At 44.3% G+C, this 26,585-nt stretch overlaps 1 protein-coding gene across 10 annotated transcripts in view, besides 1 other annotated feature; it reads right to left on the bottom strand.

Annotated features, from left to right (window-relative positions):
• Positions 1-312: 312 nt before the first annotated feature.
• The window catches only part of TUBGCP3 (tubulin gamma complex component 3), a 120,620-nt gene continuing 94,347 nt past the window's right edge, over positions 313-26,585 (bottom strand). For 6 of the 10 annotated variants that reach the window (XM_017020323.3, NM_001286277.2, XM_011537462.3 and 3 more), the window contains 5 exons: positions 19,928-20,016; positions 19,334-19,465; positions 14,347-14,487; positions 4,883-4,999; positions 313-1,453 (listed from right to left, as the gene is read on the bottom strand). In XM_017020323.3, the coding sequence (XP_016875812.1) occupies positions 1,295-1,453; positions 4,883-4,999; positions 14,347-14,487; positions 19,334-19,465; positions 19,928-20,016 (638 nt within the window). In that variant the 3' untranslated portion in view covers positions 313-1,294. Of the gene's footprint in view, positions 1,454-4,882; positions 5,000-14,108; positions 14,243-14,346; positions 14,488-19,333; positions 19,466-19,927; positions 20,017-26,585 lie in introns of those variants that run through there. The other 4 variants (XM_047430036.1, NM_001286278.2, XM_047430037.1 and 1 more) reach the window with 2 other exon arrangements.
• Positions 22,922-23,840: an enhancer, noted in NCBI's record as "H3K27ac-H3K4me1 hESC enhancer chr13:113161934-113162852 (GRCh37/hg19 assembly coordinates)". NCBI's record gives its function as "activates a minimal SCP1, AML or CMV promoter by ChIP-STARR-seq in naive H9 embryonic stem cells {active_cell/tissue: H9 hESC(naive)}" and the evidence as "EXISTENCE:reporter gene assay evidence [ECO:0000049][PMID:30033119]".

A 26,585-nucleotide genomic window follows, 5' to 3' on the forward strand; every position in this document is an offset into this window, starting at 1 on the left:
ATTTCTGGCCTTTGCCATGAATTCATTTCTGCATGGCCAGGATTCCTGACAGCCCCTTTAGTTTTAAAGGTAATCCACACCTAAAGGAGTCAGAGGTGGATTCAGATAACTAAAGCACCGCTCCTGAGACCTGAGCGGTGACATTGCCTTTGCTTCTATACCAAAAGTCACACAAAGTCTACTTTCCTGGTTTCACTGATTAAATAATTCATATGCTGTACTATATTAAATCAAATTCTACCAACCCTCAACCCCCAAATCCAGCAAGTAAACTGTCCCTTCATAAACTACTCAAGAAATAACGAATGCATCTGAAAGATAATTGCTTTTAATTTTCTAAATTTTCACTTATGCAACATAAAGGCAGATTTATGTGACCTGATAATGACATTTTTACAAAAAACAATCCCCCCCACCCCAACATCTTGGTCAGTAGTATATAAATATTTACAATGAAAAAATAGGCAAGGAAAAAGGAAATCTTCATTATCCATGTCGATTTCTTTCCAATGCTTATCAGGAACTTTGAAAATAAAATACTCCATTAACTTTCTCGTCACTCCTATTTACACGCTGCTTTAGCTGATGCATTCGCGGTATTTGGGTTGCACTGTATAAGAGTATTTTTGTTCTCTATCACTCCTACTTTTTTCTATACTATTTTAAAAATCTGAAATAGTAAATTAAATATAAAAATGTAAACTCTGAAAGGAGAGAAAATAAGAATAAATATGTGTAAAGGTAATGCATTAAGATACAAAGGATCTCACAGAGGTTAATATTTTACAACACTAAAAAAAAATAAAATGCTCTATATATTTTCTTAGTTGGGACATTTTGTTTCAATTTAATTTTTGGTTATGTTAACAAAAATTACCTCTAAAGAGGATGTTAAAAAAATAGCAATGACGTTACCATCTTAACTAATGAATATCCTATCACCCTAATTTTTTCTAAAAGAAATGGATTTTTTAAAGTGACAAATATAAATTATAACATAGAAAGCTTAAGAAGCCTCAGCAAATTATGGTATCTTTTAGCGATGAAGACTTTTAGAGACAAATGTGAACAGTGCAGCCAGCCTACTTGACTTAGGGATTTACAAATGCATTCGACTCCGACATGTGAAACACGACGTGGCTTCTCCCACACGCCGCTCCGCTGAAACATGGCGCACTCGTGGGCGGAAGGGCAGGACACCTGCAGCATGCAGTTCCTGCAGGACGTCAATGGGAATTTCGTGTCTAGCAGTGCAACGAACATCACCCGCAGCTCCCTGGGAGGACCGCGAGCTTCACGTGTGGGAGCTGCGCCGCCCCCTGGTACCCAGAGACACACGGAGCCTGGGCTCCCTGGCTTTGTAATGCTCGTTGAAGTCCAGCCTGAAGCTAAGAAACCGAAGACTCTCGTCAGAGCTGGTCGTCAGTAACACCAAAAACTGCTGCACGATACCCTAAAAAGAAGCAAAAGGAGTAAAATATTGTTTCAGAAAAGAACAACCCACAAACGTATTCCCCGGACCTTAATCTCCTTTGGGTTGGGTCTGTTTTTCCTTCCAGATCAACAGGCCCTTAGTAAATGCCCACCAGGGCAGGTGTCCAGGGAGCAAGAGCTGCTGGGACCCTGGAGTGCACACGGCCAGTGCACCTGCATTAGGAATGGGCGCCCTTTTACAAGGACAAATTAGTGAAGAATACATTTGATTTGAAAACAACTAACCAACAGGTTTTTTCACTTTGTTCTTAAGTTCCACAAGAATAAGCAAAACAGCAAAGTAACAGATGTTAGAACATTCTATTTTGAATACAAAACTCAGTGCCACATATTTCATCTTTCATATGACTCATGAAAGAGGATTTCATCCTAGAGCCCTTGCTGGAGAACAAATTGAGAGCATCAGTCGGGTCTTTGGGTCTAGCTGCTGGACGTGAGGCTGCAGCCGCCCTCTTCATGGGCACTGGCATCGCCATCATCCTGTTACTGAGGGCGTTTTTAAAGATGTGACAGAAGTTTCCCCTAACTCTGATAAGACGAAAGGACTGGCTGCTTCTATTTCAGGCTGAAAGACTTGCATACTGAGTACAGGCCCATCCCCGCCCAGTGCTGGAGCCTGCTGCATGCCACGGGGTGCTGATCTGTTCACAGAACTGCTGGCCTGGAAAGGCCTCATCTGCAGAGAAAACTCACTGAGGCACTGCGTCCTCACCAAGCCCCGCCCAAGTCTTCACCAGCTGTCACTGCCCCTTCCCAGCTTCTGGTCAGAAACACGAATGCTGAAGCTCACAGGCAGGCCTGGGCACAGGCTCTGCTGTGTTGATAAAGTAACTTCACCTCTGAGCAGGCAAACACTGTGTATGTGTGTGTGTGTGTGTGTGTGTGTGTGTCTGTGTGTGTGTGTGTGTGTATCACTGCCTTTTTAGGTGAGGGAAGAAGAACACGCCTAAGAAGTTATATTGCCAAAATATAGACAGTGACTTCCTATTATGTGATGATGTGATGAAACTGAAATACAACGGTCTGTGGAACTACTAAAAGGAAATCTAAGAATATTTCTTCCACAGGTTGAGACTGGATGTTCTTTCACAGTCAATGGCGATAACAGCCTGCCGTCGCTGGCACCGCCACAGAGAGCAGAGACGGATTTCTGCTGTTACAGAAAAGAATCTTCTTTGTAAATCATTACCATTCAGATTTAAGACTGTAATTTGAGTAAAATTGGGATTACAGTGATTACTTTTTAAAAATGTATTAACTCCCTCAGGGAAATGTGTAACCATAAACAAGAACATCGTTGTCTCAGAAATAAGCACACAGACAAATCTTTAAAATTACACATTGCTCCTTTGTAGCTATACAAAGGATTTGTAAGTCTGATTTTAGTGAATCATATGGATCTAACCATTAGGTGTCCATTTTTAAGAAACAGGAATACATACTGTACAAATAACATGAGTTCAAGAAGGCATCGTGTCAAAACACCATCCAACAGGGATGCCTGTTCACGGAACATGACTGGCCAGTCACTACCCCCTTTTATGAAACTTCAACAAAAATGCAAAAGTAGGCCAAGGTCAGACTAAGACCACTTGTAAAAGGGACAACGTTCCTCCTTAGTTATCGTGAAGAAAAATAAATATTTAAAAAGTATGAGGGCCGGGCATGGTGGCTCATGCCTGTAATCCCAGCACTTTGGGAAGCTGAGGCGGGTGGATCACTTGAGGTCAGGAGTTCAAGACCAGCCTGGCCAACATGGTGAAACCCTGTCTCTACTAAAAATACAACAATTAGCCGGGTGTGGTGGCGCGTGCCTGTAATCCCAGCTACTCGGGAGGCTGAGGCAGTAGCATCGTTTGAACCCAGGAGACGGGGATTGCAGTGAGCCAAGATCACACCACTGCACTGCAGCCTGGGTGACAGAGCAAGACTTGGTCTCAAAAAAAAAAAAAAAAAAAAAGTTTGAGGACCTGGGAAGCAAACTAGATGCCCACAGAAAGAGCGAGTGCGGTCTCACTTTCAATTTTGAACCACATGAAGGCACCAGCACACAAACCCACGATGTTGGAGGGCTGGAGGCTTGATGCTCCATGATTAGTGATCAGCGACTGAACAGAAATATTTTTCATGAAATCTTTTCATCTCTACTATCACTAAGATCACATTGAGAAATGGAGGAAATGAGAAACTGGACCCATACATGGAGGCAAAAGCAGAGGGACAGACATGCAGAGCAGCCGTCCCCAGCCTTCCGGGGTCTACACCATGTCTGCTGGCTGCCGGCCCCTCACCCAGGCTGGGCAGCTGTCTCAGGGACAGTCCCCATCGGGAGTCACTGAAAAACCCAAATGAAGGCTACAGAGACGCCTGCAGGTCCCCACAATCCCACCACGGGGGAGCGCAGGGGCCACCCCCAGGTCCCCACACCCACCACAGGGGAGCACAGGGGTCACCCCCAGGTCCCCACATCCCACCACAGGGGAGCACAGGGGTCACCCCCAGGTCCCCACACCCACCACAGGGGAGCACAGGAGCCACCCCCAGGTCTCCACACCCACCACAGGGGAGCACAGGGGTCACCCCCAGGTCCCCACACCCACCACAGGGGAGCAAAGGGGTCACCCCCAGGTCCCCACACCCACCACAGGGGAGCACAGGAGCCACCCCCAGGTCCCCACACCCACCACAGGGGAGCACAGGGGCCACCCCCAGGTCCCCACACCCACCACAGGGGAGCACAGGGGTCACCCCCAGGTCCCCACACCCACCACAGGGGAGCAAAGGGGTCACCCCCAGGTCCCCACACCCACCACAGTGGAGCACAGGGGCCACCCCCAGGTCCCCACATCCCACCACAGTGGAGCACAGGGGCCACCCCCAGGTCCCCACACCCACCACAGTGGAGCACAGGGGCCACCCCCAGGTCCCCACATCCCACCACAGTGGAGCACAGGGGCCACCCCCAGGTCCCCACACCCACCACAGGGGAGCACAGGGGCCACCCCCGGGTCCCCACACCCACCACAGGGGAGCACAGGGGCCACGCCCAGGTCCCCACACCCCAACACAGGGGAGCACAGGGGCCACGCCCAGGTCCCCACACCCCAACACAGGGGAGCACTGGGGCCACCCCCGGGTGCCCGCATCCCACCACAGGGGCCACCCTTTGGCCAGGGTTCTCACTGATGGCACACTGGCACTGCCCGGAGCCCAGGCATACCCGAGTCCCCCAGAGGGTCACAGGGTCCACCATGGGTGCTACTCACACCTACACAAATAAGTGTCAGACTGACAGGGCTGACTCTGCTCTCATCACTGTGAAAGCAACTGTCAGGTACAGAACATGGGCAGAGTGGTGTGAAGAGCCACTCTGTATCCTCATACACACCTGGTAGAAATGGGTCAATATTCGCAACTGTGAGCACATTTTTGGTATAGATTCTTTAAATTCTCCAATCCTCTTATTTTCCTCCTCTTCCTCTGCTGCCGTCACTCCCCACTGGCCCTGAACAATCAAAAGTACCAAATGTCAGTAAAATCACGATGGAAAACAGATTACAGAGTAGGGCTGAAAACAGGTATGTGAGGAGCAGGAGGTGTCTGCTTTTTATGCCTCTCTGTACTGTTCAACACTTTCACAATAATTTTCTGATGCCAGACTGCTCTCCAGCTTACTTTTTCCAGTTAACAATGTGTGTTGAAAATATTTCATATGAACACATTTGAGACTGCCTCTGTTGTTTTTAATATCACATTGTATAACATGTAACAAGGTATATAATTCATCTCATTTCATGGGATGAACAGCCTTCTATCCTTCCCTCGTGCTGTACACGTTTTTATATAACAAAGACAGTATGTGTGAAAGTGGAACCAGCTGGCCCAAGGCGTCAGCACCCTTTAAACTATTATCTTGACTTTAGTGAGAATGCTTCTAGTTCCCTAACCATGATGTACTTTTTGGTACTGGAGATATACCCGTTTATTTCTATTTTTAAGATCATTTTCAATCAATGATGAATTTGATTAAATGTCTTCTCAGATAGCATATATAGGAATTATGTTTGTTTGTTTGTTTGTTTTTTGAGATGGAGTTTCGCTCTCCCATGCTGGAGTACAATGGCATGATCTCAGCTCACTGCAACCTCGGCCTCCTGGGTTCAAGTGATTCTTCTGCCTCAGCCTCCCAGGTAGCCGGGATTACAGGCATGAACCACCACACCTGGCTAATTTTGTATTTTTAGTAGAGACAGGGTTTCACCATGTTGGCCAGGCTTGTCTCGAACTCCTGATCTCAGGTGATCTGCCTGCCTCAGCCTCCCAAAGTGCTGGGATTACAGGCGGGAGCCACCGCTCCTGGCCATGATTTAATTCACTTGTCAAATATGGTGAATTATATTACTGGATTTCCCAAACCTATGCATTCCTGAAATAAATCCTAGTCTTCATAAATTATGCTTTTAAATCTAGCCTTTTTTCAATTATATTTCATGTGAGATTTCTCCATCAATATTTACAACCCAGATTTGTTTTTTCTCAGATAGGGTATCAGCTTCGTGATTCTTCTTACACAATTTAGAAACTTGGAACAGTTCACAGAGCACAAAGCTGACCATCGGTGCGTTTGGGAGTCTTTCTCAGCACAGCTGACCTGACGCTTTTTGGTGGGAGCCCTTCGATGGCTTTGTTTCTTCTTTAGTATTTGCTCTGCTTACAATTTCCTTTCTCTCATGGGGCCAATTTCGGAAACCTATGGAAAATGATTTCCTTCAAGTAGATTTTTTTCCACAGAGCTGAGCGAAAGAGTAAGTTCTTTCTCACTTGTTTTGTATGTTTGTGCCTTCTCCTCCCGCTACCTCTCAGATTCATTCATGGCTTAATTTCCCTCCACTCCTTGGCCCCCCAAAAGGCCCAGCTCTTGGACTTTATTAACTTCTTTGTTTCCGATTCACTGATTTTCGCTCTCATCTTTACTAATTATGTCCTTTGGCTTTTTCTTTAGGTTTCATTCCTGCTTTTCCAACTTTTTGAGTGGGATGTTTATTTACTTTCATTCTCTCCAATTTATTAATATAGGCAGTTATGAATTTTCATATTTCCTTATTTATGTGCATTTTATCTTTCATAGTCTGTAAGAAACTGAAATATTCTTCTAAAATCCATGTGCTTTGACCCATTTCTGCTTGTTTGCTTGTGGTTTTCTAAGTGAGTACTGATATGGCACAAGCTGGGCCTTACAGGAAGCCCACACTGCGTGGTCCTCACTGTGCCCTGCACCTCCCATCACTCCAATGTGCCCTTCCTGCCATGTTTACTGTTTTGTGCTCTGAACTACAACCTGCTTTCCTTTGAAGAATATTTGCTTTATATGCTTTGTTCGTGTCCACTGTTTTCTTTATAAACTATCTACATCACTCGTTCTACACCAGAACTTCCCAATTTGTCTTCTTTTCTCCCCACCAACAACCCTTTTGTGGAGAACGGGGTCTTGCTATATTGCCCAGGCAGCTCTCCAACTCCTGGGCTCAAGCTATGCTCCCACCTCTGCCTCCCTAAGAGCTGGGATTACAGGCATGAGCCACCACGCCCGGCCAGAACTTCCCAATTTGTAGGTCTGCCCGGATAATGACCTTCAGCCCTCAGCTACAAGCCATCCAGCACCCCCACCCAGGGGCATCAAGCAAACACCATCCTCTACTGAGGAGCTTTTTCTTTCATTATGTGGGTTTAACCCAAGTCCCCTGATTGATGTGATGTACATCTGCTCTTAGTTCTGTCTTCATATTTATACCATGCTTTCCGGTTTGAGGGTGATAATCTTCTACTATATCACCTGTATTTCTTCTAACAGCCAGGCAGTGACACTGTGTCCCAGTGGTTACCTTTATACCTTCACTTCATAAAACATATCATCTTCTTCTTTGGATGGTATCAATACTCTAATCTGGGCAATAATAATTATTGTCCTCCTTCCTTTTGCCATCTGATTTTAGAAACATTCTATTCATATCTCTAACATCTTTCAACCTATGTATACCTGTTTTACTTCATTTATGAGCTTTAAACAATATCTTTTGATGCTTGGTTACAAAAGATAAATAACAATATTTACACTACTTCCCATCTTTTCCCCACCAACTTTTGTCTTTTATTTCTTTACACAAATTTTTAAAATATACTATTTTACTGTCGTGTAACACATATAAAAAAGTATAAAAACTCATACATGAACAGCTTAATAAGTTATCACAAGATGAATATGCGCATGTCACCCCCATGCAGATGCAAGCGAGGGCATCTCAGCACCCAGATGTTCCTGTGGCCCCTTCCAATGACCACCTCTCCCCCCAGAGGAGCCCTGGCTATGGGAACAGGGCCTGGTGTGTCTGAGACACCCTGGCTATGGGAACGGGGCCTGGTGTGCCTGAGACGCTCTGGCTATGGGAACGGGGCCTGGTGTCCCTGAGATGCTCTGGCTATGGGAACGGGGCCTGGTATGCCTGAGACACCCTGGCTATGGGAATGGGGCCTGGTATCCCTAAGACGCTCTAGCTATGGGAACATGGCCTGGTGTCCCTGAGACGCTCTAGCTATGGGAACATGGCCTGGTGTGCCTGAGACGCTCTGGCTATGGGAACATGGCCTGGTGTGCCTGAAACACTCTAGCTTTGGGAACAGGCCTGGTGTCCCTGAGACACTCTAGCTTTGGGAACGGGGCCTGATGTCCCTGAGACACTCTAGCTATGGGAACGGGGCCTGGTGTGCCTGAGACACTCTAGCTTTGGGAACGGGGCCTGGTGTCCTTGAGACTCTCTAGCTATGGGAACGGGGCCTGGTGTGCCTGAGACACTCTAGCTTTGGGAACAGGGCCTGGTATCCCTGAGACGCTCTGGCTTTGGGAACGGGGCCTGGTGTGCCTGAGACACTCTGGCTTTGGGAACGGGGCCTGGTGTGCCTGAGACACTCTAGCTTTGGGAACGGGGCCTGGTGTCCCTGAGACGCTCTAGCTCTGGGAACGGGGGCTGGTGGCCTGAGACACTCTAGCTTTGGGAACAGGGCCTGGTGTGCCTGAGACGCTCTAGCTATGGGAACGAGGCCTGGTGTCCCTGAAACGCTCTAGCTATAGGAACATGGCCTGGTATGCCTGAGACGCTCTGGCTATGGGAACAGGGCCTGGTGTCCCTGAGACGCTCTGGCTATGGGAACGTGGCCTGGTGTCCCTGAGACACTCTGGCTATGGGAACATGGCCTGGTGTGCCTGAGACACTCTAGCTTTGGGAACAGGGCCTGGTGTCCCTGAGACGCTCTAGCTATGGGAATGGGACCTGGTGTGCCTGAGACACTCTACCTTTGGGAACAGGGCCTGGTGTCCCTGAAACGCTCTAGCTATAGGAACATGGCCTGGTGTGCCTGAGATGCTCTGGCTATGGGAACAGGGCCTGGTGTCCCTGAGATGCTCTGGCTATGGGAACGTGGCCTGGTGTCCCTGAGACACTCTGGCTATGGGAACGTGGCCTGGTGTCCCTGAGACACTCTGGCTATGGGAACATGGCCTGGTGTGCCTGAGACACTCTAGCTTTGGGAACAGGGCCTGGTGTGCCTGAGATGCTCTAGCTATGGGAACAGGGCCTGGTATCCCTCAGACGCTCTAGCTATAGGAACATGGCCTGGTGTGCCTGAGACACTCTGGCTATAGGAATGGGGCCTGGTGTCCCTGAGACGTTCTGGCTATGGGAACATGGCCTGGTGTCCCTGAGATGCTCTGGCTATGGAAACATGGCCTGGTGTGCCTGAGACACTCTAGCTTTGGGAACAGGGCCTGGTGTCCCTGAGACACTCTAGCTTTGGGAATGGGGCCTGGTGTCCCTGAGACACTCTAGCTATGGGAACGGGGCCTGGTGTGCCTGAGACACTCTAGCTTTGGGAACAGGGCCTGGTGTGCCTGAGACGCTCTAGGTATGGGAACGGGGCCTGGTGTGCCTGAGACGCTCTAGCTATGGGAACGAGGCCTGGTGTGCCTGAGACACACTTCCATTGGGCACTACACCTAGGAGAGAGAATGCTGGGTCAGAGTAGTCCTGAGTTCGGCACTGGTTCCTGCCTAACAGTATTCCAAAGTGGTTATTCCAGTTTATCCAGAACCAGCAGCGTAAGAGTCTTCTCACATCCTCACCAGCATTTGTTGGTGTATGCCTTTAAAATTTTAACATTAAACATCTAAACTTAGTATAGTAAAATAGTATATTTTGAGCTGTTTAAAATTAGCCAGTGCTGCCTACTTAGGCCCAGGCCCCACGGCTCTCAGCACCACAGGCCACGGAGCAACAGTCTCTACCTGTGGGCTTCTGGACCTTACCCTGTTCCAATTACTTGTCTTTCCTTGAGCCACACCACTCTTTTAACTACTATGATCTTATTCGATAACTTAAGGACATACATGTACTCGACTATAAACTTATATCCATGGTGGCTGGACTAATCCATGTTCCCTCCGCAGTGTGTGAGGGTTCCCTTTTCTTCACATCCTCGCCAGCATTTGTTCTTGCCTGACTTTTGGATAAAAGCCATTTTAACTGGGGTGGGATGATAGCTCACTGTAGTTTTGATCTGCATTTCTTTGATAACCCATGATGTTGAGCACCTTTTCATAAGCCTTTTTGCCATTTGCATTGTCTTCTTTCGAGAAATGTCGATTCAGATCCTTTTCCTTTCTTAACTGAATTACTAGAGTTTTTTCCTGTTGAGCTGTTTGGGCTCCTTATATATTCTGGTTATCAATCCCTCGCCAATGGGTAGTTTGCAGATATTTTCTCCCGTTCTCTGGGCTGCCTCTTCACTTTGTTGATTGTTTCCTTTGGGTGCTTGTTAAACTTGATTTGACCCCATTTGTCCATTTTTGCTTTGGCTGCCAGTGCTTGCAGAGTATTACTCAAGACATTTTGCCCAGACCAATGTCCTAGAGTTTCCCCCCAGTGTTTTCCATTAGTATTTCCATAATGTGAGGTCTTAGATTTAAGTCTTTAATCCATTTTGATTTGATTTTTGTACATGGCAAGAGACAGGGGTCTAGTTTCTACACAACCAGACTTTTGTAACAACAACAAAATGCCAGCTTTCCTTCCTTCTCTCTGTACTTCCTCTCAGCTCGTAGCCCTGGCTGGGACCATCAGTGCAGGAGCGTGTATGTCTCACTCTGTCTCAGGGATGTGCTTCCAATATTTCACCCCCAAGAATGATGTCTTATTATAAAATTATTCATGCAAACCTTTTTAATGGGTTTTACTTGGTATTAAATGATATTTTCCATCTATTGAGATGATCATATAATTTTTCCCCTTCAGTTTATAAACATGAATTACAATATCTTTATTAGAATGATAACAGGGAGGGTTCTATTCTTGGAATAAGCTGAAACTTGTTTGTAACACATTATCATGTTGATCTATCAGTGTGATAATACTGTGGATTTCCCAATCCACGTTTACAAGGGAGACTAGGACACAGAGAGCAACAAAAGCTAAACTACCCAAATGCTTTGTTTTGGCATCAGGTTACTATCTTAGATAACTATATTCAATTCTGTTTTATAAGTAAAAGCAATCCCTAAAAATTAAAAGCCAAAATGAAACCACTTAACCTAACTGTGCAGTGAGTTGGTGGGAGAGCCTTACGGGAGCACTTATTTCAAGGACATTACCACATAGAATTTGAATGCATCTATTTAGTGGAAAAATTTTTGGCAAAAAATTTTTAAAAATTATTAGAATAAAAGAAGAAATATTTTTTCCCTCAAAAAAAACTGCAAAAAAAGTAAAACTATTTTCAAAACTATACTGTTCCCATATCAGCAGCAGCATTGAGATTCTTATTCTGAGACAGTCACGTGTATGGGTGCATGCATGGATGCATTATCGTAAGATGGCAAATAATTAAGTACGATCATGTTAGAAACCAATGTTTTCAACACTGGAGATATATTGATAAAAAATGAAACAAGTAAAAGTCCTTTAATCCTACATTTGAATTGGAAATATCACTATAAATTGATATTTATAGCGTGTGAGAAGAAAAGTGGAAAGAAACAGAAGAGCCATGAGGAGGAAGAGAAGGGCCCTTTGGAGTCCCCCACACAATGGCAGCATAAGAACATGGTGGCACCAGGGGGTGCAGCAGGCGGGCGCCGCTTCGGTCCCAGCACACACCCAGGGCTCTGTCATCTTTCCAGGAGGCGACTTGCATGATCTCTTCAGAACTTTCAGGGGACCTCAGGTCGAAATGATGGCTTTGAAGATTATCTTGCCTTTTAAACTTAAATAACTTCTCAGATATGGTTTTAGCTTTTGTGTCTCTTCCTGCATCCTTAAGCAAGTCTGAATGGAATATCCTGAATCAGCGTGGACTTGGCCTATGCATCTGTCCCACTCACTGTGACGGCTAACTGCCCAAGAGAACCTTCCACTCCCACACGGCCAGCGGACACGCCATTAGCACAGGCTTAAAATCCGAAGGAGTGGCCGGGCGCGGTGGCTCATGCTTGTAATCCCAGCACTTTGGGAGGCCGAGGCGGGCGGATCATGAGGTCAGGAGATCGAGACCATCCTGGCTAACACAGTGAAACCCTGTCTATACTAAAAATACAAAAAATTAGCCGGGCATGGTGGCAGGCACCTGTAGTCCCAGCTACTTGGGAGGCTGAGGCAGGAGAATGGCGTGAACCCAGGAGGCGGAGCCTGCAGTGAGCCGAGATCGCGCCACTGCACTCCAGCCTGGGCGACAAAGTGAGACTCCCTCTCAAAAAAAAAAAAAAAAAATCGGAGTGATTTTGGTCGATTTTGAGACAGTTTAGTAATTCTCTAGAAGGGAAGCTTCTTGGGGCACGTGGGCAGTTTTACAAATGGCAGTGGCCAGCATGCACTTGAATGCCTACTAAATAAGCGTCATATATCATCACACATAGATAAGTGACTCTGTGAGGTCATATTCCTTATCACCCATTTTACAAATAAGGAAACGACATCTTGGAGGGGTGAGCCACCCAAAGGCGCAAAGCCAGTAAGTTATAGAGTTAGGTAGAATCGTGAGTATATCCGACTTTAAGTTATCCATAGGGTTGCCTGGACAAGGCCCAGGAGCTTCTGTGTGCCAACTCTACAACACTTCAGAATTACCAAAATTCGCTTTGAATGATGAGAGCCCTTAGCGATACAAATGTTTCCAAAAAATACCAAAGAAATAACTTGTGCACCCAGTGGTTGAGGACTCTCTAAGCTACATATGGTCCTCTAACACAGGTTTTAAGAGAAACAATACTCAAAAGTAAAACTAACCAAACTGTATTGACTGAATAATGTCTTTGACAATCCCAAGAGTTAGTACCATCATATGACATTAAAGACAGACACATGCTGAGAAACGCATCGTTAGGTGATTTTGTCCCTATGTGAACATCGCTGAGTGCCTTACAGAAACCTCAGTGGTACAGCTGACTACACCCTGGCTATATGGCACAGCCTATGCTCCTAGGCTACAAATCTGGGCAGCGTGTGACTGTATTAAATGCTGTAGGCAACTGTAACACAATGGTAAGTATTGTGTATCTAACATATCTAACATAGAAAAGGTACAGTGAAAATATGGCATTATAATTTTATGGGACTACTGTCATATATGCAGTCTGTCATTGACCAAAACATCATGTGGTACATGACTGTATCCTGAAAAAGTAAAAGATTAAACAGATTATAGTAAATAAAAGAAATCCCATAAACAGCCAAACTTGCTTAATAAATCTGAAAATAACCGTTAAGTACAGAAATTTGGTTCATGTACATATACATGTACACACACACACACATGCATGTACCTGTAAACACACATATATGCAAAGCACACACACAAACACATACACATGCATATATACCTATACATATTATATATACATATATACTTGCATTACAGGTATATAAACATACATATAAGGTCTCCAACTTAAGATCGTTTGACTTAAGATTTTTTCTACTTTAACGATGGGTTTATTGGGGTACAGGTTGAGTATCCTTTATCTGAAATGCTTGGGACCAGAAGTATTTTGAATTTCAGATTTTGCAGTATTTGCATATACATAACGAGGTATCTCGGAGAGGGGATGCAAGTCTACACATGAAATTCATTTATGCTTCATACACACCTTAAATACATAGTAGCCTGAAGGTAATTTTATATATTTTTTATAATTTTCTGCAGGAAACAAAGTTTGTGTACAATAAGCCATCAGAAAGCAAAGGAGTCAGGTGTGGAATTTCCCACTTGTGACGTCATGTCAGTGATGAAAAAGTTTCGGGTTTAGGAGCATTTCGTATTTTGTATTTCAGATTAGGGATGCTCCATCTATATTATATTAAATGCACTTTCAGTGTAGAATGTGCTCATTGGGACATAAGACTGCTCTAAGTTGAGGAGCACCTGTAGATGCACACGTTTGCAAAATGCAGCATGGTGCACGATCCACAAGCTTCAAACACAGAGTGATGCAGAGCGGAGGCAGCTGTGGAGATTCCGACGGGTGACATCGGCATTGTGGCACTCAGTAATGAAAACGGGCAGGAGATTTGTAATTCTCATGAATGCTGCTGTTTTTATTTATTTTGTGAAACAGGATGATGATGCCAGTGAGGGTGGCCCCTCCCTCTTTACAACTGTCAGTGATTTCTCGGGACTTCAAACGCAGTATAGGCACATCTCAACCTGTCTGACAATTTTGGCAAGAAAGTTATTTGTTGGCATTTGAGATTATCGTGTGTGGCAAGGAGTTCATTATTCAAATAGATAAATTCACAAGTGTAAAGACCATACCTCAATTTCACGCTGTTTCTTTTTCTCTTCAAACTGTAATCGTCTCTGCAATTCTTCCAGAGCAGCTCTGTATATTGCATCTTGAGCATTCTGAAGTTCAATAATTTGATCAAACACAGCTCTAAGTTGATTTAAAAGTGCCTGAAAGAGATGACAATGTTTTATGAATAGAGCCTCAACCAGCTAAGTTTCTTAAACAAAACATTGATATTTAGTGAAAAGATATTAGAAAACAAGATATCAACTGAAATTCCCAAAGTGTTCATTAGCTGTTCATTCATTCCCTCACCACACATTTCCTGAACCCTCCTGCTGAGCAGCGCTGTGCTGGGCACCAGCAAAACGTGACCATCCTGCACCTGCACCCGTAACAAGAGCAATCGTGACTGCCCAAGTCCCACGGCGGGCCAGGAGCTCTCTGCAAATCACCTCCAATCCTCACAAGTTTACAAAAATGAAGTTCTGCCCAAATTTCAAAGCTAGATAGCAGGTAGTAATGAGTAGAACTATTCCAAGATTGAAAAAAGAATAGGAAAGCATCTCCATTTTTTTTTTTAGATATAGCAAAAGCAGGTAATCAAAAATATGAGAAAGGAAATACTTAGTAAAATATAAAAAGCAAATTCAGCAAGGTTTTTAAAAAATGTATCATAGTTTATACCAGAAATAAAAGGATACCTTAACATGAGGAAAAAACTCCTAATGTTTTAAACAAATATCAGTGTCACAGCAGGTATCTTCCGTTCATTGCTTATAACTACTGCCCAGTAATCTTCAGTAAACAACTACTGTACCTCATTAATCTTTCTCCTATTGTGGCATGGAAGGACACAATGAAATCTACAGCACAAAATCATTTACATAAATTAAAAATGTATACACAGAAAATACCATCTATATACCCAAGGCCATAGAGCAAATACATTAAAGCTGATGCAAACAGCAGGGAAGGGGGTACAGGCAGAGGAGGGTGGAATTGGGGTATTGGCAGGGAAGGGGATAAAATTAAACCCAACAAAATATGAGAGGCTTTTCACGGACCACTGATGGCAGTGTGCTATGACTGAAGAGAAAGGTTAACTCTACCCTCTGCCATCTTAGGTTTGAAAAAACACACTAACAGTCTGAGGGCTGAGCGGGGGTTAATTTCAATAGTGCAGAAGAAAATTGTGATAAAATTCAACACCCACTCATAATTTAAATAAGGCATCTAAGCAAACTAGGACTAGGGCAGAACCCTCTTAGCTTGACAAGGGTCCTATCAGATGTCTTTGCAAACAAAACAGCCAACAATGAAGCAACAAAGCATCATTTTAACGTCAGGAATAAGACTGGGATTCCCTTTGTGCTTAGAGTCAGCCTAGCTAACACTCCGAAGCGTGAAAAAGAAGCAAAGGCAGACTGTGTGAAATGAAAGAAACAAAACTGGTTTTACTGATAAAAAATATGCGCCAAGAAAATATTAGACTAGAAAAATTAGAGATCGAAATAACAAAATCAATACCATTTCAGACCAGCCAAATTTCTCAAATGTAGCAATAATGTAACAAAAGATTTGCAAGTTTATAGGAGAAAAATGACACAACTGTACTTGAGAAGCATAAAAGAAACCGAGATAACAGGAGAGGTTCCAAGCCTGTGGTTGGGAAGACACAATACAGTTGATTTGGGGAGAAACTAAGATGTTGAGTTAACTCTATTTTTAACACAACTTTACAGTTAATGAAGACATTTGCAAAGCCACTTCTCATCACCCATTGTCTAATGGACTAATACTATTCTGCAAAAATATTTTCCGTTATGAAAGCATGGCGATGCTTCGGTTCAAAATTCATTTGCTAAGTCACAGCAGCACCGTTCAGAGTTGAACTGATGTCTGATCTCAAGTGAGACAAAGCTGAAATGAGTATTTGCTGAATGGGTTTTGGAACAAACTGATGCAGGAGAACTTGGTATTCGGCAGTGAACAGCCCATGCTCTCTTTCACTTACTACAATGCACTTATGCAACCAGGTCTTCAGATTACATGGCAACAAAAACAATGTGGACTGATTTGGCAAATGATAGAAGGATGTGATCAGGGGATGCTGTTCCTAACATAAAACCACCACGTGATTAATGCGGCAAACACATCTTCCATCTTACAAGTTCTCATCTTAGAGCTGTTCTGTCCTTTTGACAGGGTCTTAAATAAGCAACATAAAAGATACAGACGGTTTAATCTGTTGTTTTTAGTAAAGATTTATCTAATTTGTTTCTTTATGTAGTCTAATAAAGAATAATTTATTATGTTTGGAAGAGTTAATCCATCTACAAGGTGACCCACTGACATTGACTTCAAGCTCAGGCTGCCAGGCAGGGCTCTGCTGGCAATCTGTCCACACAGGGCACCTGCAGGAGGCCATTCTTTGGCAACATCAGTGGTACCAATTCACTCTGCAATTCACAATTTCTCTCAACAATGTGCAAACAAAAAAACACAAAAACATGCACAGCCTCCAGCTTCAAGATTATATGTATCAGAACCGCCTTGGTTTTCTTAGTGAGTGACATAATAAAAATGTTATACTTAAAATTGCTTATGTCAATAATAGATTGTTTTAATCTGCTTTACATACTGGGTTTATTTATTTTTTTTTAAAGCTCATTTTAAACAAATCATCAAATTAAAGAGTAAAGCCATCAGCAAAGGCAAGTTCAGAAATGACCATGAAGCCTCCGGCATGACACCTTCAACGACGTCAGGTGGGACCAACGCACACGTGAAGACCCCGCTTCCCACTTTCACAAGGGCACTGTGCTACAGGTGGGAAGATTTTCTCCCCCGGATAGGGTTCTTACCAGTGGAAATCATCTAGGGGCAAAAGCTATGACAATTTATCTCGTACAGAAGGTTCACATCTGTAAGTGGACTAAGTCTCCTACATTCTCCGTAAGCTGTGTGGAGTGTTACTTATTTGCCACAACTGGACTGATATCAGTATGGGTATAGTCCTCAGTAGTTCAAACATTTTCTGAAATGCATGAAATCTAATGACTGTAAACACCTCTGTAAAACACACACACCGGCACAAAATAGCAACTAACACCTATCTGCCAGCCACTATGGTCAACATTATACTTGAATTATACAATTCTTACAAATCTGTTGAAGAGACTAGGACCATGCCCTTTTAAAACAGAACACTGGAGTCAAAAGCTATGAAGTGAAACTCCACCCTCGGTCTACCTGGCTGCAGAGCCTGTGTCTGTCTTGCCATGCGACTGCACCGTGAGACAGGCCGTGCTGGCCAACAGCACACGGGTCTAGGAACAGAGAGCTATTTGTTACACTGACTTCCTAAACGTGTGCGGACAATGCTTGTCGGCATCTGCTGAATACAGAGAGGCAACGGCTGGCAGGCAGCATGAAACCGTCTGTGGTTTTACTCCGATAACAAGACCAGGGTTAGTAATAGAGGTTTCAAGGGCCTCAAACCTCAAGAAGTACATTTCTTCTTTTTTTTTTTTTTTTTTTTTGAGACAGAGTCTCGCTCTGTTGCCCAGGCTGGAGTGCAATGGCGCAATCTTGGCTCACTGCAAGCTCCGCCTCCCGGGTTCACGCCATTCTCCTGCCTCAGCCTCCCCAGTAGCTGGGAGTACAGGTGTCCACCACCACACCTGGCTAATTTTTTGTATTTTTAGTAGAGACGGGGTTTCACAGTCTTACCCAGGATGGTCTCAAGCTCCTAACCTCGTGATCCACCCACCTCAGCCTCCCAAAGTGCTGGGATTACAGGCATGAGCCACTGCCCCCGGCCTGTATATTTCTTTAATTATTAATTATCCTCAAAGTATTTTAAACTATTTTTCTGACATAATTTCCACATATTTATAAAAACATGTAAAACACTCCATATAGAAGCAGCTTTGATCTTAACCATTTTTTGACATGATTGATAGTTCTTTAATAATGAAATTCATGGCTGGCTAACCTACATATACTAAAATTTAGATGAAGTAAAGGCCCTGAAGTGGCGTGTTTTCCACTGACAGGCCCTGAGGAGAGTGCAGGCCCAGCTGGAGGCAGCCCCTGCCAGTCGGAAACATCCGTGAAGTCTCGGAGTTCAGGTGAAAAATGCATTTGAAATTTGCCCCCTACTTCACAATATATTTGCTTCAAGTGAAAGCAATGTGGTTCCTTCTTGTCCCAGACCTCAGAATAAAAGGAGAACTCCAGGAAGATTTGCCACATGGAACGTGCAACTTTCAGAACATGGACCCTAAGGGAAAAGAATGTTCGCGAAAAATGTCATACATGTCACCATGGTTTTTTGTTGTTGTTGTTGTTGTTTTGTTGTTTTGAGACAGTGTCTCGATCTGTTGCCCAGGCTGCAGTGCAGTGGCGTGATCTCGGCTCACTGCAACCTCTGCCACCCGGGTTGAAGTGATTCTCCTGTCTCTGCCTCCCAAGTAGCTGGGATTACAGGCACACACCACCACGACCGGCTAGTGTGTATTTTTAGTAGAGACAGGGTTTCACCATGTTGGTCAGGCTAGTCTCGAACTCCCGACCTCAGGTGATCCACCCGCCTCGGCCTCCCAAAGTGCTGGGATTACAAGCATGAGCCACTGCGCCCGGCCTGTTTTGTTCTTATATCGTGTTGCTTATTTTGCTCAGATATTAACCTCAACAACTCAAAAGTCATGGTTTTCTCTTTTGAATACCACAATAGGATACCATTATATCTAGAAAATGAAAAGGTATTATTATTTTCTACCATTTTTACATCCAGTTTAGAGTATATTCTTGTTTCAGCACTACTGCACTACTGTTCCAATTCTCTTCAGAAACTGTACCTTCAACAGTAAACTTTTAATAAAATTATCTGAATTATTACCAATGTGGCTGCATCAGGGCATTTCTAAGATTCCCCCATTTGACAGGAACCCAAGAAAAGAAGATGATTCTTTTGGTTTCTTGTTTCTAAGCAGGTCGGAGTCTTACCCTGGAGTCACTGTCCAGCAGGCAGCGGGAGATGATGGTGTCTAAGAACACCTCGTGTGCAGCAATGATGTGATCCAAATCCTGGGCCTGCTGGACTTTGTTCCAAAGCTCATCCCAAGAACATTCAAGCACCTGGGAAACAACAATTTAAAGACGCTAGATAAGCTCATGTCCTTCCTAGTGTAGCATCACTCATAAAATATATACCACCTATGGGAGGCCGAGGCGGGCAGATCACCTGAGATCAGGAGTTAGAAACCAGCCTGGCCAACATGGCAAAACCCCGTCTCTACTAAAAATACAAAAATCAGCTGGGAGTGATGGTGGGCCCCTGTAATCCCAGCTACTCAGGAGTCTGAGGCAGGAGAATCGCTTGAACCCAGGAGGCAGAGGTTGCAGTGAGGTGAGATCACACCATTGCACTCCAGCCTAGGCGACAGCAAGACTCCATCTCAAAAAAAAAAAAAAAGAAAAAATTATGTATATATACACATATATATACACACATACATACACATATATATATATATATACCATGTAAAAGCCAAGACATGACTTATTTAAACTAAAATCAACACAATGACTGAAGTGTACCTCAAATGTGATGTAATACTGCATCTGATGAATGAAATGGACCATCTCAGAGGCCAAAATGTGACACTGGTGCAGCACCCCGGAGAACTCTGCAAGGGAAGAGTTGACGTCAGAGGTGCAATGCAAGTACACTTACCGACAACGCGCTGTTCTCCCTTACCCACCTGCAAGCTATCTTAAAACAAAAAATCAGTCATTTAAATTCTTGACCCCTTAACAGGAAACAACCTCTCCAGAACCAATTTCTGTGCAGGTCAAGCTAAACAAGAACTTAGCTATCTAACCAAGTAGTACTATACTACTTTACCTAATAAGGGCCTAACAACAAATATATGAAACAAAATATAATTGTATTTAAAAATTAAATACAAAACATTTATTTTATAATAACGCAGTGCACTGAATAAATAGAAGCTCTACTTCATGGCTTTACAATTAGTTTGCCTGCTGTGCATGAAACATTTACTATTCCCTGGCTCTCTGGAGATAAAGGTGACATTTCTTTAAGGAACCGACTGTGGCCTTACCGCCTGTGAGAAAGAGGAGCCTCGAGGGAGGTCAGCGACGAGCTCAGACTCTCCTTTTATCCTTTAGGAGATCACACAGCCATCACCAGGCTGGAAGGTCACCACAGAGCACAGTTCTCTGCTCGCACTTTTAATTTTTTTGTTCAAAGACTATGGCAGCATATTGTTACACTAATGTATGTGATGGCTAAATCAGAGCTAGGCCCATCAGTGAGGTGATTACAAAAAGGCTTTATAACACGGGTCAGCTTGGACATGTTTTGTTACTGCTTCAAACGCCCTCAATGAGTTACCTCGATAACGAGATCAAGACTTGCTACGCATGCAGTTGTGTGAGACATCAGTCTTGCCTCCTCTCAAGACAGTAAAGAAGTGGAACTTAAGCCTCTTTATAGAGGTGTGTAAAAATAACAGTGGCAATGCATACTTTTTAAAAAATACTCTTTCTGTAAGTTAAAGATCAACTGACACCTTGCAGTTTTGCTCTCTTGGTTTAACACATGACAGCTTCGTCAGTAAAGAAAAGTGGGAGAGGAGGAGATAGAATTCTAAGCCTTATAAAAATGTAAATTCTTAAACAGACGATCAACTTATACAAGCATGAAATACATATGTGAATTGTATGAACGCTGTCTGAAGGCACAGATTCCACTAACAGGCAGCATCGCCATCCGACCCTGGCACCCGGTCTCCAGGGACGCGCCGTGCACTTGGGAAAGGAGGAGGACGTACTACAGAGAAGGACACCCTCACCTGCCCGGTGCCTGGGTCTCGGGAAGGGGCTAGAATTCTCGAACACAGAGGCTCAGGTGAGGGAGAGCCAGAGAGTTGTAAAGCAGACAGTGATATACATTATATACCAGCACTCACCTAAATGAAATATATGGCAGCCAGTAACAAACGATGTTTAAAAAAATAAATTTCAAAAGACAAAAAAAGAACTTGCTTTCAAGGAGGCAGAAGAATTTTTAGTTAGGGATCATTGATGGCAGACTTAGACAATGCACCTTTCAGATGGAGAAAATTCATTTGTTAAAGAGAGGGATGACACACTGTCCCTCAGGCAATAAACAGGCAGGAGGTGGCAACCTAACCAACCAGAGCTCCAAAGGGCCCTCGTCCACATCCATGCACCGCCCAGCGACTCGCAAGGGAGCACACCCACTCAAGGGCTCAAGCGCCTCCCCTGCCAATGGCTATGACTGATGTATCAGAGGCATATCTAAGATTTACTTACAAAGTTTACAACTCTGCAAAGAATCCTCAGCGCTCCTTACATGGCTCCGCAGACAGTTAAACACAGTGAACTATAGCGTCCACAGTCATGAGATGCACTCTCAGCTCTAAGACCCTCAGAAGAGACCCAGCTGCCCTCAGACCTGTGACATCTGCCGAGCATCTGTCTCATGGGGCTCCTGTAGCACAGCGTGCACTCCACATACCCCAAGTATCTTTCTTGCCATTAGGAATCTACAACACACAGATATGGTCAATGTGCATCCGAAGAATGGGTTCAGCTTTGAGGTTCATCTGAAATCCTAGAATTATGAGTGTACTTTTCCCTACTAAAACTATAAATACGGTCTAAGATTTCAAATCAAATAATACTCAAAACCCCTCAAACTACAATTCCTTTTCAATGTAAAGGGGCATAATAAAGTGTTGTTTTAAGTGATGTTCAGCCGTGTTATGGTTTCGGTGAGATTCTAAGGACAGTAACCACCACTTGCACTCAACTTTAGGTTTTAACGCAGAGCTCAAATGAGAGGACTGTGTCTTACCCCACTGAAGTCACTGGACTGTAATGGAAAATCTATAGCCAGTCTTCCCTGGAGAATGGTGAGTATTTAAAACATTCTACAGGTGCACAGAGTGTACATATATTTGTCCTCAAGCTATTTCTCAGATGTGATTTGATTTCTTTCCAGTGCAGCAAAGTTATATGAAATAGTTTAGAAACCACTTGTGGAAGGTTTTTGTATTTTTATGTTAATATTATCACAGAACTCTGGTGGATCTTTTCATGGGAAAACAAATGGACAAATTCTACAAGTCACATGCCACGACTCGCGGGTCTCACCCTGACATCCGATGTCTCCATCGACCCTTCCCCAGGTACATGCTCAGTGTGATCCTAAAATTTAGCACTGCTGTGCACTTGTGCACAGTGAGCACAATCTGTTTTATTTTCTAGCCTTTTCAAGCAACTACCCAGGTTATACTTATTCATCCTGACCTCCTTCAGAGAAGGTTGAAGCTGAATGACAAAACTAGATTTCATCTAAAAATGAAAGGGGAAACTTCACCTGAAAGTTTACCGTCACCTAAAAATGCGAAGCAGGCTACTATCAGCACTTCCTCTGAGGGACTCTAGATTTGTTACAGAAGCATACAAATTTTTTGTGGCTATTCTCCATTTTCTAGCTCCTGCTGGGTGCTCTGTGGGTGACAGAAGCGGCTCAGTCCCATGAAAGCTCAGGTCTGTGCTGCTCTGCTCCGCCTGCATTTCTGAGGCTTCCTCCAGAATTCTTCTCAGGGTCAGTCAAGCCAGCAGCATCTGAGTAACATGCCGATTTTTCATGGCACGAATATGCTTTTGCTAACGTCTTCTACTTTTCACTGTTGCGCTATTTATGAAACCAGGAATTTTTTTCTCCGGCTTCAAATCAGTCTGAAAGTAGATACACAGTGATTAGTGATTAAATCACTAATTCTATTTCAGAATCTCTTGATTTTCTTGAGTGTACAATTTCTCTGATTAATGTTCTAGATTCTTTAATGTCACACTGGGAAATAAAAATGCTACTGAATGGCCACAAAACAAAACAAACCCATCTACCAAACAACACTGTCATGCAATGCTCAGTGTCAGCCTAAACTCCTGACATCCCACTCCAGCCCATCCCAGTGCTGCCTGGGGCCTTCCCCTTCTCTCCCTCACTCCCAGCCTCAGCATCCCGCAGCCCTGGCCCCACCAGGTTTGCATTGCTTCGCTGTCATGGCTTTGGCTCTGCCTGTATCCCTCGTGCCCCCTAGTCACTCCAAGCCCGCCTCTCCCTCCTAGCACACACTTAAAAGGCCAACCCGTATCCCCTCACTCTGAATCCATCTATTCCTCCTCTGTGATTTTCAGCCTCCCCCTCCTTCTCCATATCGGCATCTCAAACAGCCTTCCAACAAACAAAGCGTCTAACTTCGTTAGAAGTTTTGACTTTGATTTTGCCCAACTCTTCTGTAGTATATCTTTAAATTTTCAGATGCCATATGGCAGCCCAGAAGGGGCCTGTTAGTTGAAAAGGTATCGTGCACCACGACAGACAGGTCTACAGCCCCCACCCCAACCCCATCTTCCTCCTAGCCACGGCACCCTGTGAGACTGCAGTTCCCACGCACTGATGTCCCTTCCACATTCCACTCCACAACTTCAAGTATCATCCAGGCTGATGACATCTAAAATCTTTACCTCTAGTCTAGATCTATCTTAAGTTTAAGATCAGTCTGATTAATGGCCTCACAAGGTATCCTAAAAAATACTCAAATTAGCGTATTTGAATGGAATCACTATCCCCCCCAAAGAAGCTCTTCCTCCAGTGCTCCCTGGGTGGTAAAAGATGCCACCACCCACCAGGTCCTCAAGTCAGAGACCCAGGTGCCACTGAGACTCCAACCACCTCCTGGCCTCCGTACACGCATCACCTGGTCCTGCTGGCGCCACAGCCCAAGCCTCCCTCAAATCCATTCCCTTCCCTCCAGCCCCGCGGCTGCTGTAACCATAAAGGCCAACGTCACCGCACACGGATTATTACAACTGGCTGCCCTGCTAATCACCACGGTCGCGCCCCAGGTTCATTATTCTCAACTACCTGAATCCAGACCTTCAGGACGTGCTCGTGGCTGGGCTCTCCAGCCCCATGTTGCAGCACAGTCCCCCTCCACAGCTTAGCTGAACATGCTGCTCTCCTCCCCACTGACCCGAACAGCTCATCCTCACCTGTCAGGGGCCAGCCTGGACACCATCACCTCTGGAGCCTTCTGGAATCACCCACGTCTGTCAGATGCCTCATTTAAACATTCCCATGCCACTTGGATTTTCCCGTATCGATTGACTGTAAGATCCTGTGTAAACATCTGTTCTGCCCTAATAGGCCATGAGCTGCTTGGCCACAGGGAGCTGGTTTGTCACCTTGTCACTGGGAGCCAGCAACAGGGAGCACTAAGTGGGCCCTCAATGATGATTTCCTGAAAGAATGCGTGATGTTGACACTGGACGTCAGAGCAGGCAGTCTGCATTCCTCCAGATCTTGAGTACTCAAACTCACACCTTTCAAAAGGTTTCTATAAGCAAGGTCAATTTAGCAACAATGTGAATATAGGTGTTCTTTCCTTTTACAGTCTTAAAGTACTACCAGCGAATACAGTTTTCCTTCTAGAAAAATCATCTTTTATTGTGTCTACAATGAGTACGGAGGACAGTATCTTCAATGGTCTTCTTTTGAGACAAAGCCCCTTGACAGTGAGAGACATATGGTTGCTGCTGAGGACGCTGCTACTGAAAAGAAACCTCGTAAAACCATCCACATGACAGAAGTCTGAAATCCCTACAATATCACAATTATTTTTCTTTCCCAAATGAGAAATTAAACACTACAGGCAATAGTATTTCTGAACTTCTAACTACTCTAAGGCTGTAATGACTATGAACTCAATTCACAAGGCACAATTAGTCCTTTAGTTCCTAAAAAATTCCATTTACACCTGCCAACATGCCTAGGATCTCTTTACCCAGCACTCTGAAAATATATTTTAGGCACATGTTTTAAATGTGTTTTTATGGCTGACCCACAAGTAACTATATAATTATAAGAATCCCAAAAGCAAAGCAACATTGGCAATAAGGTCCAATGAATACAGGATGCACATCTCCTGCAGGGCCGACGCCACACTGGACGGCCGATACACAAAACTGGGCAGCCACTATCTCCTCCCGCTTGGGCAGCAGCTAAGTGCCAGGCTCTTCTGTAATTCTCCACTGACCCCTAAAGGCTGTCGAAAGAACTTCAAGTTTGACTCAAACACCGGCTCTTAAGGACTTGTTCAGGCACCTTCCGCCAGAACCCCCTCACATGCGGAGATGCCCCTATAGATAGCATCGAGTACTGCTAAACATGATATTTGTTTTTTTTAGAAAAGACCTTAAAACAATTTGTTCACAATTTCAAAATCACCTCCTCAACCCGTATTTATGTATTTAAAAGTGACCTTACTGTATTTAAAAGTGACCTTATCAAAGTACCCATCTGATCTATTTTTCTCAAGACTAAGGATCCAGATGACATTTGTTAAGACCTAGGATTGTTTTCAAAGTCTCTAACCACCTTTGAGGATCTCATCCTTACATCATCGGCATTCCTGCTCTCCCAGGCAAGTAATCACGGCAACAGTGAACTTGGGGGCACTCACCACAGGCAGGTGCTGTTCCAAGTACTTTCACTCAGACTTAATCCTGCAACACTAGGAAGTAAGTGCCGTCGCCACCTCATCCCCCAGATGAGGAAACTGAGGCAGAAGATCAAGAAATCAGCTGAGGCCACACAGCCTCAGAGACAGGTGATGGGGTGGGGACTCCCCCAGGCAATGTAGCTCTAGCACCAACGGCTCAGCTTAAAGTTTCCATCAATTGGAGCCAGGCACCTCCAATCTGTATTTGTATGTTTCACTAAGGATCCAAAAGACTTTTGTTAAGGATCTTTTGGCTCCTTAGTGAAACATATGAATGATGAGTGAAACATACAATGAAAACAGCAAGCACACCTCCTGCAGGGCCAAGGCCACACTGGACAGTTGATACACATTAAGGATACAAAACACAGGATACAAAAACACAGATAGATACACAAAGAAATTTTTAAAGAGAAAAACTTCAACTCATCCTTTATCATTCACTGAGTCTAAGACACTGTCATTTGTAAGATGAATCGTTATTATATGAATCATCAAGAAAGTAAAACAGTTGCCAGTCACACTGACAGACACCCTGACCACAGTCCTGTGCGGGAAACACCCTCTGAACCCACCGCTCAGATGGGCCCCTCACAGGGCACTGCTGGCCCGCGGGCACCTGCCTTTCCTGG

Source organism: Homo sapiens, chromosome 13 (genome assembly GCF_000001405.40).
Source record: "Homo sapiens chromosome 13, GRCh38.p14 Primary Assembly".
In the NCBI taxonomy this organism is placed as follows: domain Eukaryota; kingdom Metazoa; phylum Chordata; class Mammalia; order Primates; family Hominidae; genus Homo; species Homo sapiens.